This window comes from Homo sapiens, chromosome 8 (genome assembly GCF_000001405.40).
Source record: "Homo sapiens chromosome 8, GRCh38.p14 Primary Assembly".
NCBI lineage: Eukaryota > Metazoa > Chordata > Mammalia > Primates > Hominidae > Homo > Homo sapiens.
The window spans coordinates 140,783,332-140,802,876 of NC_000008.11; the positions used below are offsets into that span (position 1 = coordinate 140,783,332).

Below are 19,545 nucleotides of genomic sequence, written 5' to 3' on the forward strand. Positions count from 1 at the left end.
CTAGCTATGTGAACTTGGCCAAACCACTTCAGCTCCGAGTGTCTTTATTTCTTTATGTGTAAAGTGAAAATATTACGAAGACTCTCATGAGGTTTAAACAAAATGATGCCTGTGGATGGGCCAGGCATGATCTCTAAGACACATGCATATGTAAATAACTACCTGTATTTATAAGTGGCATAGTCATGAATAGGTAACAAATCTAGTGTATCAGAGACCACACAGAAAGAGATAAAATGCAGTAATTATTATAGACTATACCACCTTATATTTTATAGAACTTTACAGTTTACAAACCACCTTTGCATATACAAGTGAGCTGTTTTAGAATTTGTAATGAAGCAGCTTAATACAAAATACAAATAACATTTATTTCATTAAATGTTTTAATAGTTCAGAATAATTTCCAGTCACTAACCTGAAAAACCTAAAAGTAATCTTGAATAAAGGAAATTATGTTGCATGATAAACAACTGAACCAAAATAATGTTAGAAAATTAAAAATTTATTTAAATTGCAACAAATACTGAAAAAGTATCACAAAGGGCCAGGCGTGGTGGCTCACGACTAATTTTAATTCCAGCACTTTGGAAGGCCGAGGTGGGTGGATCACCTGAGGTCAAGACTTCGAGATCAGCCTGGCCAACGTTGTGAAACCCCATCTCTACTAAAAATACAAAAACTAGCTAGGCGTGGTGGTGCACAACTGTAGTCCCACCTACTCGGGAGGCAGAGGCAGAGGCAGGAGGCTTGAACCTGGGAGGCGGAGGTTGCAGTGAGCCAAGATCACACCACTGCATTCCAGCCTGGGTGACAAAGTGGGGGGAAAAAAACTATCACAAAGTAGTATAATTGCCCTTTAGCATGAAGGGCTTAGAGACAATCAAACCAAGCATTTGAAAAAGATCACTGCATTGGTGTACATGACAGAGATACAAATGAGAAAACTTGTATTATCTCTAGTGCCACATGTGTAGTCCAAACATGTAACAAGAGCCATGTGCATAATGCAATGGTATTACTATCATGTGTTATCTTGTACTTCTGGTCATAATTAAGGTTTTACTGCTTGATCAAGGGCTTCGTTATTTTAGAAAAGAAAAAGAAAAAAAAACCCAAACACAATAATCCACCAAACAAAACCCCCAAGTTTATACCTTCAAAATATTTAAAATACAGCTTTACTCATTGATTTGGAAATACCTGATTTCTAGGGTAATTTTAACCCACACAACCATTGGTTAAGCACTCCCTCCCCACAGAGGCCACACCTCCTCTTTCAGCATACTTACAGGTCCCTTATGATAGACTGCAGCACCTGACTTTCAGATATGTTCCAAGTTGTACCCGAGCTCCACAACAAGCACAAGTTTCCTTATAACTTAATAATTAGGCTTAAAAAAAAGACTTCTACAGGTTCTCAGAACAATACAGGCAGGGACACATGTTGTTCTGTTAGATATTTTTATAAATCTCTGTTAATCTTACACTTATTTTTGTAGAGAAATACTGTGTGAATTTCAAAGATACACTGTTCATATATTCAACATCAACTGTCACTGCAATCTTACTGAAGGTGATCCAATAACTACCTTTATTTTGCAACAAAATATGAAAAAGTACCTGGTATCTTCTCTCCGGAATGTAAGGATATTGCTTTATTTGCCAACAAGAGAGACCCACAAAGAGCGACAAACTGTCCTAAAGTTATCTAGATCCTCGCTTTTTCTGTTGGTTATCCTCTCTACCCCTGCCCAACATCTCCTAGGAAGGAATCTAGAACCATTTATAATGATTCCTAGGAAAAAATCAAGAACAATTTACAGTGACAAGCTTACAGGTAATCCCTTGAGAGCCCCAGTGACACTGGTCGGTCCAAATATTCCTGCCTTTCTGCTGTCGGTTCCCGCTACCCAGAATGCATTCCTCTAAGACCCAGCACACCTCCATACCTTACTCAGGAATTCATGGATTTATTTAAAAACAATTACAAAACTTATATCCCAGACAATAAAGAGATAAACAGAACATGTCTTTACATGCAATGGGTTCATGGTTTTGTGGACAAGATGGTTTCTAAAACACAATGACATTTATTTTAGGACTATGCATAAGAGAGAAATGTACAGTGCACTATAGAGCTCTGAGGAGGAAGAGTCCAGATCTTCTTAAAGTACTCAGGAAAGCTTTCTATGAGGTACTGACATATGAACCCAGACTTGGGTCAGGTAAGAACTCTTTGGTTGTGAAGAAAAATGGGAGAGCCAGACAAATCCCATGAAGACTCTCCATCTTCATTGACACTTGGGAGTGTAACAGTTCATCAGTACAGGGGAGCAAACTCTCTCAAATTGCTCATGACAGGCAATAGAGCCTAGAGGGTAATAATGACCTGAGTTCCGATCCTAGTGCCATCATTTTCAAGCTGTGTGACACTGAATAAGTTTGTTTACCTTTCTGAATTTAATTCTTCATATCTGTGAAATGGAGAGATAATAAATACCTTGCAAGGCCACTGTGGGATTAAATAATATTTAACAATTATGAAGGGCTTTACAATCCCACACGAGTTAATACATGTGCAGGTTTACTGTCATACAGAAACACAATTTTAAATAACTTTCCTGTTGCTCTCAATTCATCTGCTTTATTTTAATTCACTATCTATGGTTTGACTCTTTCACCAAGAATGTAAACTCTATAAAGGGAGGGACGTGGCTTTGTTTTCTAGCAGACTCCAGTATCTAGAATAGTGCTCAGCACGCTGCAGGCACTCAAGAACTATCTGTTGGCCGGATTAATGTAAAACAGAAATGTAAAACTGAGGTCTCTTCAATCCCGCAGGGCTTGTTAGGGGTTAAATGAAGTATCGTATGACAGAAAAACAAGTAATTGCAGCTGGCATACAGTTGACTGCAGCCTCACCCCACTATCCTAGACACTGAACACGCTTACTGTGGAGAAGCACATGCAGAATTTCACAAGGATCCAGGAGCAGTAGGGCCTCTACCTTGGTGTGTCAGCACTACATCCCACATAGTACGGTGTTTCCAGGTTGGCAGGTAAGAAATAACCCTGGGATTTAGTAAGATTACCGTTTTTCTAGGTATCGGCTTAACAAAGATGTCCCTAGAAATGTGAATTACCAGCTCTGGGGCTAAGTGCAATGTACTGGTTCCTGGCCAGCTAGGCTTATCAGTTTTTAGGTTTTATGGTTTTGTGGAAGATAGAAACATATCACACCATTGAATGTCAGGATGACAGAAGGAAAAAAGGATGGGAGGAAGAAGGGAGGGAGGGCCGGCAGGCAAGAAAAGAAAAGAAATATACCACACTTGTTTCTCTGGTTCCACCTAAGTAAGCAAGCAGTAGGGGAATGACTAAGGACAAACAGGACTCCGAACAATTAATGCCATGTCATTAAATATCCACTGGACACCACTTATTCTTTGCTTGGATTTGTAAATCACCTAAGTGATAGTCATATATTGAAGTATCACTAACTCTGAAAGTGAAACTATTTTTATATGTAATGATGAAAAGAGCAAGTCTGGATGGAACAGCTCAAGCAGAACAACAGAGATAAGGAGGATGGGAGAGCCACAGCCACCAACTTTTTTTTGGCTAAAAAACAATGTAGATGAGGAGGTGAGGGAAGACTGGAGAAGTGGGTGGTGGGCAGATAATGAAAGGTCTTGGAGGGCTAAGCTGAGGAGCCCAAACTTCATCTGATGGATACTAAATGATTACTAAAAGTTTCTGACCAGAGAACTGCCTATTTAAATCAACATGGTAGCAATCTAAGAGCATGGAGAAGGTACTGAAGTATGAACTCCTAGTTACGGAATACCTAGGAAGAAAAAATGAAAGCACGATCACAAGTAATTCAGGGGGGTGTTAAAGCCAGACATTAGAGTTTGAATAATGACTCCAGATTTTAGCAGCTATGTAACCTTGGACAAATTATTTAGCCTCTCTGGAACATAGTCTCCTCAGCTTTACAACAAGAAAACTATCTTATAGGCCCTTTGTTGTAAGGACTAAATGAGATGATACATGTACAAGAACATAGAACTTAAACCTGAGCCTGGAACACAGTACTCATAAAATGCCAGCTAACTTTATTCCTCTTAATGGGGTTCTGAAATAAGAAGAAAACACTGAGATCATAAAGTGGGGGTTGGCTGGAAGAAGTAAAATCCAAGTTTGGTGATGACCAGCTGCTAAAAGACACATCTGAGGTTTAAACCTTGAATGGAGAGTATTGATTAAAAGAGATTAGTAAAACAGGAGGAACAAGATTTGAAGGCACTGCTGGGGCCTATTTTATTACATTTCATTACTTTGTTACCCAAAGACAGATGCCAGGAATAGTCCTTATTAACATAATGGGACATTTCCCTTCTCTCTTGATCAAGCCTGGGGAGACTGTGGAGACAGTGTGTGGCAAGCACCAAAAGGGCAGTCCCCGGGGCTCATCCCAAAAGCTGCTTTACAGTTTGGCAAGAAGACGGACCAAAGGGCCTGCGAGTTATTCAAAGCCCTGCTCAAATCTCACCTACTCTACAGAACATCCTGCAGAACATCCTTTGATGCCCAGCAGTTGCTCCCTCCTCCAGACTCCTGTGACTGTAGCATGTGTGGTGGTCTTTCTCTCTCCAACTAGATTACAAACTCCGTGAGGGCCTGGCAAGTTTGCCAATTCTCTGTACCCACTACAGACTGAACAAATGCAAATGCTGAGTGCTGTTTACTGCCCCAGTGTCACTACTGGAAACTAGGGCTACTCCAAGAAGTCACGATTAAGCTTATAAGGATGATTAACTGTTTACCTGAGAACATGCTGGCAACCCCGAAGCTTCCATAAGACCAGCTCTAGCATTCCAACCTTCTCTCTACTTAGTTAGGAAGTGAGCAATGATTTCTCAAGCAGTAGTACTTTGACAGTATAACACATCATTCACCTTTATTGAGTATCTCTGCCAAGTGTACAAATACAAGCAAAAATACTTCTTGAGTAAGGGCTTATGGGACATTTGTGCACCATTAAAAAAACAAACAAACAAGGAAGCCAGGCCCAGTGGCTCACGCCTATAATTCCTGGCACTTTGGGAGGCCGAGGCAGGCGGATCATCTGAGGTCAGGAGTTTGAGACCAGCCTGGCCAATATGGCAAAACCCTGTCTCTATTAAAAATACAAAAGTGAGCAGGGTGTGGTGGTAGGCACCTGTAATCCCAGCTACTCGGGAGGCTGAGGCAGGGGAACTCCTTGAACCTGGGAAGCAGAGGTTGCAGTGAGCTGAGATCGCGCCACTGCACTCCAGCCTGGGCGACAGAGTGAGACTCTGTCTCAAAAAAAACTGATTCAAAATAAACAGGAATTGGGTCTTTTCTAAGTGAGATGCTAAAGTTAAAAGGAAACTATTATTTCAGAAATGTAACATATATGTATGCACATATATAAGAACAAATTACATATGTGTGTATATGGTTACGTATGTATATATGTGCATATACAGATGGTATATGTATTTTAAGATATCAAATGGGCCCACAGAAGATGCTTTCTCATCCTCCCCCTTTCCTTTATTTCCCACATTTTTAAATGGGAAAAAAGGCATATCTATTTTGAAACATACCAAGGAAAGTACAACACACTTAATTGCACCAGCAAATAGTTAAGACAATGCTCATGCCAGAATCTTAACTATATTTTTTAAAAAGCAATACTCAAACACCATATTGTGAAAGACAAAAATTGTTTTAAAATGTCTCACATTTCCTGAACTTCTTAAAATAAATATGCAAAGTATATTCTACTGAATTGCAAGATAAATTATAATGGCAACTTCATTCTGGATAAGATTAACATGATATTAAAACCCAAAAATAATTTGGAATTCTATACAACTTGCTGAGTGATCTGGTATTTTATCTATGTCCCATCTTAAAAAAAAAAAAAAAAAACTATGAGCCATACTTAAAACTATTTAATGATGGTAAAATTATGCAAATTTGGATAGCCAGAATGCTTATTTTCATAAGCTATTCTAGAACGAAGCAATTATACTAAAAATAGACATCTATGATCGTCTTACCCCATGAGAGTGCTTTTCGAGGTCTGCTACCTAGAGCCCCTTACCTGACACAGAGACGGCGTGTGTCCGCATGCCTTGCTTTTCGCTGTTGGCCAACCTGTGACAGACAAGAGCAAAGCTGTAAGCCCTGCAATTTCCCCAGGACCCCGCAACTCGGCCTCATCAAGTGGGGAACTGCCTTGGATGAGGAAGACAAAATTTTAGATACGTGATTTCTTTAAAAATTGGATTCTACTATTAAAATAGCCAGGCTGCTTTAATGCTTTAAAGATCACAAATTAAAATACACAACTGAAGGAATGTTGAACTGTTCTGAGAAAGATACTCTTGACAATAATTTAAAACAATGCAATACAATTTAATCTGGTATGAATGGGTTAAATAAAAATATAAAAATATAAATTTAAATGCTACACACTAAAGGATTGCCCCTAAAGTTATGAGAAAAAAAACATACACCTGGAAGTGGATTTTGCTCTCTAAAACATAATATGAAATACTACAGTATGACTGGTCTTTCTCAAATTTATGGCACATAAAAAATTATCAAGCAATACATTAATATGTACTATTACCTACATACTTAAAAAAGTAATCTCAATGTATCTTGCTACTTGCTTCATGACATGGTTTAACACTAGTTTTACATATTTACCCACAAAAAATAAAATTTTGGCCAAAAGTCTTGGTGCCGTTTAAAAAATTGGTAAAAAACTTTTGGAAAGCACAAAACACAGGGAAAAAAGGAGCCACACAGTCTTTAGATGTCAAAGTTACCTGATCTTTTTATAAGAGAAAACCTTTTCCAGATGAAATATTGACATTTAAAACAGTATAGGTTGAATATCTCTTATCCACAATGCTTGGAACAAGAGTGTTTCCAATGTCAGATTTTTTGGATTTTGGAATGTCTGCATATACAAAATGAGGAATCTAGGGGATAGGACCCAAGTCTAAACGTGAAATCTGTTTATGTTTCATATACACCTTATACATGTAACCCAAAAGTAATTTCATACAATATTTTAAATAACTTTGTTCATGAAACAAATATTTGACTGCAACCTGTTACACATGAGGTCACATGAGGTCAGGTGTGGAAGTTTCCACTTGCTGCAACATGTTGGTCCTCAAAAAGTTTCCAATTTTGGAGCATTTTGAACTTTGAAGTTCCAGATTAGAAATGCTCAACTTGTACATCGTTTCGAAGCACTACAACTATTTAATGTGAAACTGTATAATCTCTATAATAATCACAGCAAACAGCCATAGACTTGTGTTCCTTTTACAGAATTCTCCAAATATTTGAAATTTTATATCTTTAGTATAAAAATTTAATCAAAGTTGTTTTCTAACAACTCATTACTTTCTCTTCCATTGCGCTACATGATTTATCACAACTTATCTTTGAACTATATTTATTGGGCAGTCAGAGGACACACATTTTAAATCAATAAATTACATCATTTCCTTCCCTGTTGTGCTGCCAAAACACTGGGGTTTTCCCTTGTCTGCGCCACAATTATGTATGCTGTTGCTAAGCAACTTTCTCACGATAGCTTGGATTTCAGCTCTTATCTGATCAACAGCAATAATGGTGTCCTGCTGCTATAAGGTTTGTGGAAATTCCACTCTTGTAAAGTTTGCTTCATTTATTTAGTTTCCTTTATCTGTTAACACTTGCAATGTACTACCTTCCTCACTCACTTTCATACCTATGTTCATGATTCCTCTATGTGTGTGTGTGTCTGTGTTTTAAGAAATGGGGTGGAGTCTCACGAAGTCACCCAGACTCGAGTGTGGTTGCTATTCACAGGCATGATCATAGTACACCACAGCCTCAAACCCCCGGGCTTCAGTGATCCTCCTGCCTCAGCCTCAGAACCACAGGAACATGCCACATTGCCCAGCTTTGATTTTAATCCAAAATTATCCCTTAACTTCCCACAACTAAAGGTACTCTAAATAAACATCAGTTCCTGCCCTGATATGACCCCAAATGAACCTCTATCAGACACTGCTGATGCTGTAGAGTGCACTGTCCAAAGCTAGAGGTGCACTAGCCACATGCAGACCTTGCCTGTGTGAGGCCCACAGTACTGCATATGACCCTGGCTGTCAGCAACTTGCCAGGTTGGCTGGGGAGGGTAGACAAGTTAAAAGCCCATGTTTAGGACTCTGGTAATTAATAACTAGAAACTATTACAGGAAAACATGATGGGGATGCTCTCCTGGCTTGGGGGTGGGTCAATGAGGTTTCTACAGGAAGTGATGTAGAATGCGACCTAGAAGATGAGTTAGGCTTAGCAACGAAAAGGGGGTTGGAAGAAGAGTGGATCATGCAAAGACAGAATATTGGCAAAGGCCTTCAGGCAAAAGACAGGATGTTTGCTCCTGGAATTGAAAAAAAGGTAAATGTACTTGAAGAATAGTATGAGGAGTGACAAAAACCAAGGTTAGAGAAGTGAGCAGGAAACAATCACACGGGCTCCTGCAAGCTAGGTTAAGAATATTGCAAAGTATCCTAAGAGCAAGAGTAGGTCATGTAAGATATTTAATTAGGAAAGCTTCCTCAAGCTGTAGCACAGAGCACGGACAGGCTAAGGAGCAAAACTGGACAGAGACTGATTTAGTAGAAGTACACAGAAAAGAGTTAATGTAGCAGGCCTGTGACTGACCTTACATGATTGTCCCTTGCCTGCTATCTGGGAACTTGGATTTTCGCAGAGTTGCCACCATCCCCTGACAGGTATGGTACACTATGCCTAAAATGTTTGTACAAAAAATGTGGTTTATGCTGAACTCTTGCTTTCCTTCTGGGAGTCTGGTATTTGGATGCATGCCAGGCACAGAGTGCATGTAAAAAGAACCCTCAATAAAAACCCTAGGCACCAAGTCTCTAATGAGCTTTCTCAGTAGGCAACATTTCACACAGGTCGTCACAATCCATTGCTGGGGAATTCAGAGTGTCCTGTGGCCTCCATTGGGAAGGGACCCTTGGAAGCTTGCATCTGGTTTTCCCTGGACTTCACCCCATGCACCTTCATCCTTTGCTGATTCTGCTTTGTATCCATTTGCTGTAATACATCATAGCTGAGTCCTGTGACTCCTAGATCTTGGGGAACCCCAACACAGAAGTGTACTTGGGTAGCCCAGATAGCTAAACACGGGGGAGACACAGTGGGAAGGCAGTGAAGCAGATGGATCCATTTAGAACATGGAACTGGAGGAAATAGTAAGGGACTGGCTATGGAGAAGAAGGAGAGGGACAGAACAAAGCCCAGGCCTCACCCTCTCTATTCCAGTGGCCTCTTAGGCTCACTGTTCTTCTTCAGTGTCTTGGAAAGTGTAAATATCTCTGAAAGCACTTACCACACAGCTATAACTGTGTGTTTACCTATGTATCTGATTGTTTAGATTTTAACATTCATATCTTAGTCCCCAGTTCCTAGCAAATTGGCTGAGAATATAAAATTATATAAGTTCTTTTGGTATTACTATTCGATTCTTTTAGTTTTGTAGATCAACATGCCCACTATAAAATTAGGAAATAAACAAGAAAATTAACATAAATTATTTCTCTTTAATTTTCATACTTGTAAAATAGCCAGAATGCCACATATTTTCAGGTTCTTGTAAAGATTAGCAATAACATATGAAGCAAATGTTTAACAACAGGCTCTCAACATTATGATTATTCTTTAGCTCCCCCATAGAACTTAAAGGAAAAATTAAAACCTTTTGATTAAGCCTAAATACTTAATAAAATTTAAAACTGACTTGATTTCTTTCTAGAATTGTTTCCTAGTTCCTTGATCATGTATATTGAATTTAATTTTTTTAGGAAAATGAATAATAAAGCATAGAAATTTCCTTAAACTTTCCAACAAAACAAAATAACAGTACAAAAAAAGCAGTACTTACTTTGGTATTGATGGCAAAGCCCGTTCACCTTCTGCGGGGAAAAAGAAAAGAGATGCATAAGGCTCTTTTCACTCCTTTTGAAAAGATGGTGCCTAGAATCAGGGAGGAAGGATGAGGCCTATACTGGTATTCCAGCAATGACCCTTTAAAGAAAGTTGCTACACTGTCTACCTTAGGTTCTCATGGTTTTATTTTCAATATTTATAACAAACATAAACTGAGTATTAGATACAATTGTTTAAAGGGTACTGCCTAATCATAATAAAGAACTAAGATGCTAAGTTGGTGAAAGACTTCGTTTGCAGGAGACTAAAAGATGAAGGGTTTCTTATGATTAGTCAACACTCCTTGTCAAAGGACCAGGCATTCTGCACTTTGATAAAACTACTCACTAGTAACAACAGAAAAACCTGTGCAGGAAGCACAGAGAAACAGAAGGAAAACAATTCTACAGGTGTGCATGGCTGCCAACGGAATGAATGTATGAGAGAAGGCAAGTCCTGGAGCTGTCATCTAAAGGAGCCGTGCACACAGCTGGCTGGAAGGTGAGCCAGGCAGCTATCTACCACAGTTCAGGGTGAGCTCCCTTTTTGCTGAGCAGGACACAGTGACTGGCTCATGCCGGCCTGACCACAGTGAAGCTGAGGACTTCGTTCAATGGTGAGGGAAACGCTTTCTTTCCCTCAGCCTTCATTTCGCAAACCAGGAAACATGGAGCCCTCCCTGGTTTAACCTCTTTAATCTGAATTAATGTAACAGCCCCCTAATTGGTCCTGTCTTCTAATCCATCTGAGCTAAATTATTTCAGAATAATCTTCCCAAATTACCAATTCATCAATCAAGCAAGTTATTATGCTTAACATTTTAGTGTCTCTCAAAAACTTTCAGGATGAGATTTAAACACCCCAGCTTAATTTACAAAGCACTGCTTCACTTCTCTCAGCACACAAACACTGCTCTGGCTGTCATCTTTGTATCGTGTCTGTGGGGTGGTATGGGAGGCTGAGGAGGCACCCATCTACCACTCACCACTCTGGTGCCCTTCTAGGCAGCTCCTTGGTAACACCACTCGTGTAGTCACACTTGCTGTCCACGGTTCCTCTCCTTACTTTTGCCCTTGAATTCATTCTAATCAGTTCCCCCCCACCCCCATACACGGAAAATACTTTTTGAACATCTCCAATGACATCTGCCTTGCTAAGCCCAATTGTTCATTTACAGTTAGCACTTAACACAGCTAATCACTCTGTCCTTCTGAGAGCTTCCCACCCTGGGCCTCCCGAACCTTGTACTATATTCTCTTGGTTTTCTTCTGCCCTCTCATGGCACCTCTTCGTCTTCTTTATTGGTTCTTCCTTATCTCCCTGGCCTGATGAAGATTAGAGAACCCAGTGCTCACACCTGTATCTCTTAACCTCACTTCCTTGGTAACCTCATACAGTTTCAAAGCGTCAAATACCACCCACACTTTGCAGCTCCAAATGCATACCTCTAGCTTGGACCTCTCCCCTGACCTGAACTTGTCTACATGACACCTCCCTCTGGATGTCTGAAGGTTGCTGGGACTTGCTGATATTCAAAACTGAGTCCTGGTGGGTGCACCTGCATACTTCCCATTGTTCAGGTGGAACCAGCAGTCATCACAGGGCCTTGCTGCTCCCCAATCCATACCCAGTGCAGCAAATGCAAGGCTTTACTGTCCAACTCTATCCAAAGTCCTCTTACTTGTCACTGTCATTCCAGAACCCCTGACCCAAACATCACTTGCCTACATCATGGTAATAGCCTCCTGATTGGTCCCTCTACTTTATCTGTACCCAGGCCAACCTACCATGGTCTATTCTCAGCACAGCAGCCAGAGTACTTATTCTAGAACATAAACCAGATCACATTACTCCTCTCTTCACACCCTCCAATGGCTTCCCAAATCACTTGAGTACAAGCCAAAGCCCTTACAATGCCTTTACATCCTGACCAGCCACTGGCCCTGGGATCACCCCCTTAGGCATTCTAGTGACCTGGGTCTCTGCTGTTCCAGGCATGCTTCCTAGCACTCCCCAGCCTTCAATAGGGAATAGCCAGATATCCTTGTAGGTTCTGTTTTCCACCCCTTCAGGTGCGACTCTCTCAGTGGGACCTTCCCTGACAACCTTACTTAAAATTGTATCCCTTACTTTCTTCCCTGTCTTATTTTTCTCGATACAGCTCAACATCATTTGATATATTATATGCTACAGTATTTATTTTCTCTATTAATTTACTCTGTTTATCGCACGTATGTCCTCACCTACATGAAATTTCCATGCATGCACAACCCTGTCTGTTTTGTTTGCTGCTACATCCTCTATCCTAGAACTGTGCCTGGAAAATGGAAGGAGCTCAACAACTACATGTTGAAAGCATGCAGTGTTTGGTCTGGCCAATCTGCCTTTTCAGTATTACTCGTCACTATTCCCTGATTCTATACTACTGCACATTGTATTCCCCTGAACATACCACACATGCCTTGAAATGTGCTCTTCCTTCATTCAGGTAGAAACATTCCTCAATATTTCAAAGCTCAATTCAAGTTCTATTTCCGGCAGAGAGCCCTTCCTGGAATACCTCAGTTTGCATTGAGCGGCATCCTCTATGTTTCTGCTGCATCCACAGAGCATTTGCCACATATACTTCTCTACAGACTATTTAACCTGCCTAAGGTTACGGTAAGACTTAAGCTGCCCAAAGGCATCCCTAATATCTAGCAGAGTATCTGGCACTCGGGAGACTGTCCGACCACTGTTTGGTAAAGAAAGAAATAAATCAACCTAGGACCCCGTGTTACTCTTTCTGAAAAACTGTTTAATTCTTCTGATTTGCAGAGATAGTTGTGAGGCTTAACACTGCATATATACAACTCACTGCACATCATAGGAATTCAAGCCAAACTGCAAGCCATCACTTGTTGACATTTTGAACATCTATTTCAAGCAAAATAACCAAGTCACACCAGGAAGACCAAATTTAGAGTAACTGAAAAGTCCTGATAGTTACGTTTATTATCCCATGAACATGACCACCTCCCACCACCAGCACCACCACCTTACTCACACCCAAATTGTTAATAATATAGCCTTTCAAATGACACATTAGTGTGATTTCTGTTTGTATTCTGTTGAAATTTCTATTTCCTGAAAGAAAAAGGAATCCATTATTATATTTTTGCCTAACAGGAGACTTTCTAAGTAGCTGGGCATGGGTAGAAAGGCAGCTGTAAAGAAGGAGATAAACAACAGAAGGATTCTGAGAGAATATTTTTATAAACAGAGTAATGGAATACAGAAAAATGGCAACAGACACCATCAGTAGAAGCAGCATTTAAGAAAACCCTAAGGACTCACTACCTAAAATGTCTAATTCTGGGAGTTAATGTTTTTGTTCAAATGTACTTCCATTCTTCTTAGAAGTGTTCATTAACTGAAATTGGTGACTTAACTTACCAGACTTTTTAATGCTTATAAATACACAAGTTTGGAGATACACACACACACACACATTTACATGTAGGTTTTTAATACATTAATAGAGCTATTTTTTTAAACAGCTGCATAGTATTACATCATGTATGCATACTCCCTCATTTATTAATTTTTGCTCATTTTTTGCTATTATAAACACTGCAATAGTGAATATCCTCCTCAGGTCAGTGGTTTGTATGACTGATTTCCAGGAGGCAGACAAATGGGCAGAGTACTCCTAAACTGTCTTCTGAAAATGTACCAATTTACAATGACACAATCATGAGTCATTCTGGCATTCTCCAGAAGTCTTGCCAGTGGTGGTTATCAGGTTTCTTTAATCAATGTAATAAACATAAAATGAAATATATCACTGTATCCATATATTCACTGGACATTTGTGTGTACATTCCTCTTTTTTATACTAGGTTGTCTTTTACTGAATGAGCTGGAAGAACACTTGAAAAATGAGAAATTTTAATTATTTATTATATGTGTCATAATATTTTCCCCTGTCATCATAGCTTTAAAAATGTTACCTTGTACTAAACGAAACGTTTTAATTATGTAATTGTGTCGCTTCAGCAGCACATAAGTGTTTTAATTATGTAATTAAATGTAACAGTTCTATTTTTATGTCTTCTGGAATTTATGCCATGCTTAGAAGCATTCACTCCCTCCCTTGAAATGCACAGTATTCACCATCATTCTATACACAGAAAACCTACTTACAATTATGTAATTACAACTCTATATTACACTATACACTTTCCTCTGAAAAAATGTTACTACAGAATTTTACTAACACTGCAAAATTGATTGTATACTTTCTTTCAGGTAAGGTGTAGGTTAGATAATGCCCTACAGAAAGGGCCAAGGTTATGCAGACTGTGGTGGAATGCAGTCCAGGACAATTTGGCTTGTGGCTCTTACTATGTTCTCCCCAGGAAAATCACCTTTTATTTTTATTTTTTAAAATTAATTTATTTTTTTTAGATACAGTCTTGCTATGTGGCCCAGGATGGTCTCAGATTCCTGGCCTCAGGGATTCTCCTGTGTAGCTGGAATTACAGACATGAGCCACTATGACAAGGTAACATCCCTTTTAAAAGCACTTTATAAATCCAAAGTAACTATGGTAGATCAAAGAACTAACAAAATGCATCTGGGCACACCCAATTCACATGTAGAATGTACTGATCACTTATTACTGTCATGCTATGTTATGCATATACATGTATACATGTATAAGTAGTTTATGATCTAGAGAAGACAGATGGGCATATATAATTATTATTTAAAGCATGTTTCCAGGAAAACGGTACATTAGAGTTGCAGAAACATGTTTAACATTTGAACTCTTAAAAAATCTCAATTAAAAAATGTACATGTGCTGTGTTCACATGTATTTTTGACTATAATCCACTAAAGATGTTTGACTTTAATATTATTTTAACTAGGCAATGTATCTTCACCTTAGGGATCTATGATGAAATAGTTATATAATACATAAACATGCTATGATTGAGAATAAGAAAATTACCAAGTTTAATAATTCATTTTATAAAGACAATATAAAATTGGAAACAACCAATGCCCTATCTAGCTTTTCATGACAAGCATTTTCATTAATGCTCTTTTCATATGAACAAAGAGCTTAAAAAGCATCGCATTTCATGTTTGATATCCAAATGTTTCTCCCTAGAGAGCAAAAAACGCTAGCTAATAGTGAAATCAACACAGGAAGATGTTTACGTTTTAAACATGGAAGGCTCATTTAATGCCTGACATCCGAATGTTATTTTTAAATGTGTATGTCAAGGACCTTTTGGTAAACTGAAGATAAAAGATGAAAAATTATTCACTAAAAAGGAAATGGGCAATCTATTACATTTAACATTTTTCCTAAATTACTATCTTTATGTAAAGAAATTATCTGAAAACATTTAAATAATATTTGTAAGGCATATACTCCTGTTTAAAGTATAAAGTGCGACACTGGAAGAAGAAAACGTCAAAAATAAAAATAAAAAATAAAGCACAAAGTGAAAAATCAAGACCTATAGCTGCAAAGGCTTTAACTGAGAGTAACTGTAGAGATTTCTGAAAGCAACTTCATTACTCTATTTTATACAAAGAAAACTTAGGAAAAATATATGAATAGGCTTATTGGTGTGATCACCGTGGGAAAACACTTTTCCTTTAGAAAAGCCATGTCCTGGAATCACACAGATTTATGTTTACTTAGCGAAGGCTCATGGCTTCAGCTGCTGTTTTCAGGGCACAGCACCATCAGTTACCTCTTTTGAGATACATAAATAAAGGGTCCAATGACTCCTCTCTATAAAACACACAACACTCACATGTACCTCCCATGCAAACACCATGCCTTCCTCAAACTGCTTTGTAAACAGAGCACTTCCCTGCTGGGCAAGGCTGGATCCTCTGCGTTTCTATCTGCTTCACTTGACCTTTGGCCTTTTCTCTATCCTCATCGCTGTTTAATACAATTCTGCTGACTTGAATGCACTCCACACAGCACTTCAGGACTTTTTTTCCTCTATAATCATCCTAGTCACTGAGGTGAGTGCTAGAAGGGGTATTGGCAAAACCCACATTCAGAGTCCCCACTTCCACAGCGTGAGCTGCTTTACAGTTACTCCTTGGGAGGTGTCTAACAACCCTACAAAATAGGTATCATTCTTTTACAGATGAGGTATCTCAAAGTCTAGGCTGATACAGTGTCAAGATCAGACTCAACTAGTAGCAACAACAGGAACAACAATACAACTAAAATCTAGGAGCATCAAGTGTGCCAGGCATAGTTCCAAGCCTATAAATAAGTCCTTTATCCTCCTAATACCATAGAAGACAGTTACTGTTCTTCGTGTTTGACCAGATGACAGAACTGAGGCTCAGAAAAGTAATTTATAGATGGTGTCACAGAGGACTCATGATTTGAACTTAAGTCCCATAATTCCCAAACTCAGTCTTTCCCTGCTTCACACTATGTATGCTATTATCCTGCTGGGAATATTTTCATTTGATTCTTTCAGAAATCCAAATCCTCAAAAGCATTCCTCATTATATGCTTGCAAAAACTCCACACCGCTTTTATAGTGACGTTTCTAGGATATTTATTCATTCTAATCTTTGATTTTTTAACATCATGACTTAGACTGTACTTTCTTCTTTGAATGCTCTAAGCTTTTGAGATATATAAGAAAAAGTAGAAAGGACACTTTATTTATAGTGAGTTATAACGGATTCCTTTTTTTAAACCCAGAATTTTATTTAAACCCAAAATTTTAAAAATACTAATGTATTTAAAAATAGTAATGGCAATTTAGAAAATCCTCTAAGTAGGTAGCTCAAAACACAGACAATGTTTTTTTTAGGCTCTATTCAAACCCAGCTCTTGGCTTGTGGAAGGTGTGAAACGGATCACCATCCCTAGAAAAATAAGTCCTCAGATTATACTGAGCTGAATTATTCATTTGGTCTTCATTTTTACAGTTACCTAAAAGAGGATAACAGGCTGTTAGGGGCAAGCACAGCTAAATATTTGGTAGAAGCGCAATTGGGAATGCTCAGAAACAGCACCTCACCTTTCTGAGGTCTGATGATAAATGACTGCGAGGTTCCATTCACCAGCCGGCAGTACCCATCTATTAGGTCAGCCATATTCTCCGCAATGGTTAGGGATGGTGCCGTCACTGTCAGAGGCTAACGGAGAAAAGATCAAGAAAACAGACTTCATTGTTCTTCCCAGTAAGCAAAGGACAGCTGTGCTATGACATCAGACATCTCTATACACTTGAAAACAGAGAAGAGTGGGAATGAAACAAGATTTGTCATGAGATTTGAGAAAGGAAATCTGATATTTAAGGACATTATTCCTAGAATATGTGACAAATGCAAACCCAGATGAAAACAGAAAAATCACTTAAACTGGGGCTCACTTTCTAGAATCAAAAGAGATGAAAAAAGTATTTTCCTTCAGAGTGTCTGGCCCCTCTGGCATACTCCAGTTAAGGGAAGAATTTAGACAATCAGTAAGTTAAAGTATGACTTCTATCAGAAACTAATGTGGAGTAAATTTTTTATCAACCATCCATCATAATTTCTAATGTAAAAGAAAATTAATAAAATTTCATTATTTTTAGCACATATAGCATGTTCGCCCAAGGGCTTAGAAATCATTCTCTTTCCAATATAAAATTTGATATTGTTTGGTAATATTTGCTTAATCTCCAGAATCAACAAGAGTTCCTAGAGCCCTCAGATGTCACCAAACTCACAGAATCACAGGGCAGAAGAGTGACGAGGCATCAGCCTAAGTGAGGAGTGCTGCAAATAAAGCTACCCAGAGAACTGGCCGTTAACAGACCAAAGAATCCTGGTGTGCTGATGGAAACAGATGAGCTTCAAAAAACATGCTTTACACACCAGCACAACCGTGTGTGCCACCAGACTGTCCAGATCCTTTCATACACGAGTGTATTTTGTCCATCTTGCAGAAAGGACCACATTAGGTAGTATTTGCCAAATGGCTCTTTCTCATGCCACTTGTTTTAAATCACTGTTGCCTGTTGATTAAGAACACAGGCTTTGGATCCAGACTGTTTGGGTATGAACCCCATCTCTTGTCAATTACTTGATGTGGCCAACCTCTCATGCCTCAGTTTCCTCAGCTACAGAATGGGGTTAACCAAAGTATATCAAAGTATCTACTTCCTTGGTTGTGACAATGACACAGCTTCTCTTGGCTTCTGCGTAAAGAACCACAGGTAGCATGTGCCCAGTATCAGGTACTGCTGCTGTTATAATTATTATAATCATATAATAATAACTATTATAATCACATAATAATTTCTACCCAGAGAATATCATGGACAACACAGTGTGGAAATTAACTCAGTTTACAGTATATATAGTCAATGCACCACATAACAACATTTTGGTCAATGATGGTCCGCATATACAATGGTGGTTCCATAAGATTTATATAATAGAGCTAAGAATTCCTATTGCTAGGTATGCCGTAGCCATCCTGAAGTTGTAATGCTCATGTTTATGGTGAAGCTGGTGTAAAAAAAATCTACTGTGCTGCCAGTCTTATAAAAGTATAGCACATACGATTATGTACAGCACATAATACTGGATAATGACTATGTTACTGGTTTATGTATTTACTATTTTTTTTTTAATTAGAATGTACTTCTACTTATTTAAAAAAAAAAAGTTAAATGTAAAACAGCCTCAGGCAGGGCTTCTAGAAAGTATTCCAGAAAGTGGCACTGTTCTCATAGGAGATGACAGTTTCATGTGTGTTACGGCCCCTGAAGACCTCCCAGTGGGACAAGATGTGGAGGTAGAAGATGGTGATATGGATACTCTTGACCCTGTGTAGGCCTAGGCTAGCGTGTATGTTTGTGTCTTACTTTTTAACAAAAAAGCTGAAAAAGTAAAAAACACAGAAAATCATTTTAAAACTAGAAAAAAGCTTACAGAATAAGTATGTAAAAAAAGAAAATTTTTTGTACAGCTGTACAATATATTTAAAATTAATTGTTATTACAAGAGTCAAAAAAGCCGAAAAAAATCAGTTTATAAAATATAAAAGTTACTGTAAGCTAATGTTTACTACTGAAAAAGGTTTTAAAAATAAATTTAAGTATATGGTGTGTACAGTGTTTATAGTCTACAGCAGTGCACAGTAATGTCGTAGATCTTCACATTCATCCTTCACTCACTGACTCACCCACAGCAGCTTCCAATCCTGCAAGCTCCACTCATGGTAAGGGCTCTATGCAGGTGTAACATTTTTTATCTTCTATACTGTATTTTTACTGTGCCTTTTCTATGTTTACATATATTTAGAGATACAAATACCATTGTGTTACAATTGCCTAAAGTATTCAGTATAGTAGCATGCTACACAGGTTTGTAGCTTAGGGCAACAGGCTATATTGTATAGCCTAGGTGTACAGTAGGCTACAACCATCTTAGGTTTGTGTAAGAAC

General features: G+C 38.6%; 1 protein-coding gene across 173 annotated transcripts in view; it reads right to left on the reverse strand.

The window, feature by feature from the left end:
* PTK2 (protein tyrosine kinase 2) overlaps nt 1-19,545 on the reverse strand; it is a 344,180-nt gene that overhangs the window by 125,432 nt on the left and 199,203 nt on the right. For 172 of the 173 annotated variants that reach the window (NR_148039.2, NR_148038.2, NR_148036.2 and 169 more), the window contains 3 exons: nt 17,128-17,245; nt 10,023-10,053; nt 6,143-6,195 (listed from right to left, as the gene is read on the reverse strand). Coding sequence is in view for 165 of the 173 variants with exons in the window: in NM_001352699.2 (NP_001339628.1) it covers nt 6,143-6,195; nt 10,023-10,053; nt 17,128-17,245 (202 nt within the window). In the remaining 8 variants the exon portion in view is untranslated. The remainder of the gene's footprint in view (nt 1-6,142; nt 6,196-10,022; nt 10,054-17,127; nt 17,246-19,545) is intronic. The other variant, NM_001352711.2, reaches the window with a different exon arrangement.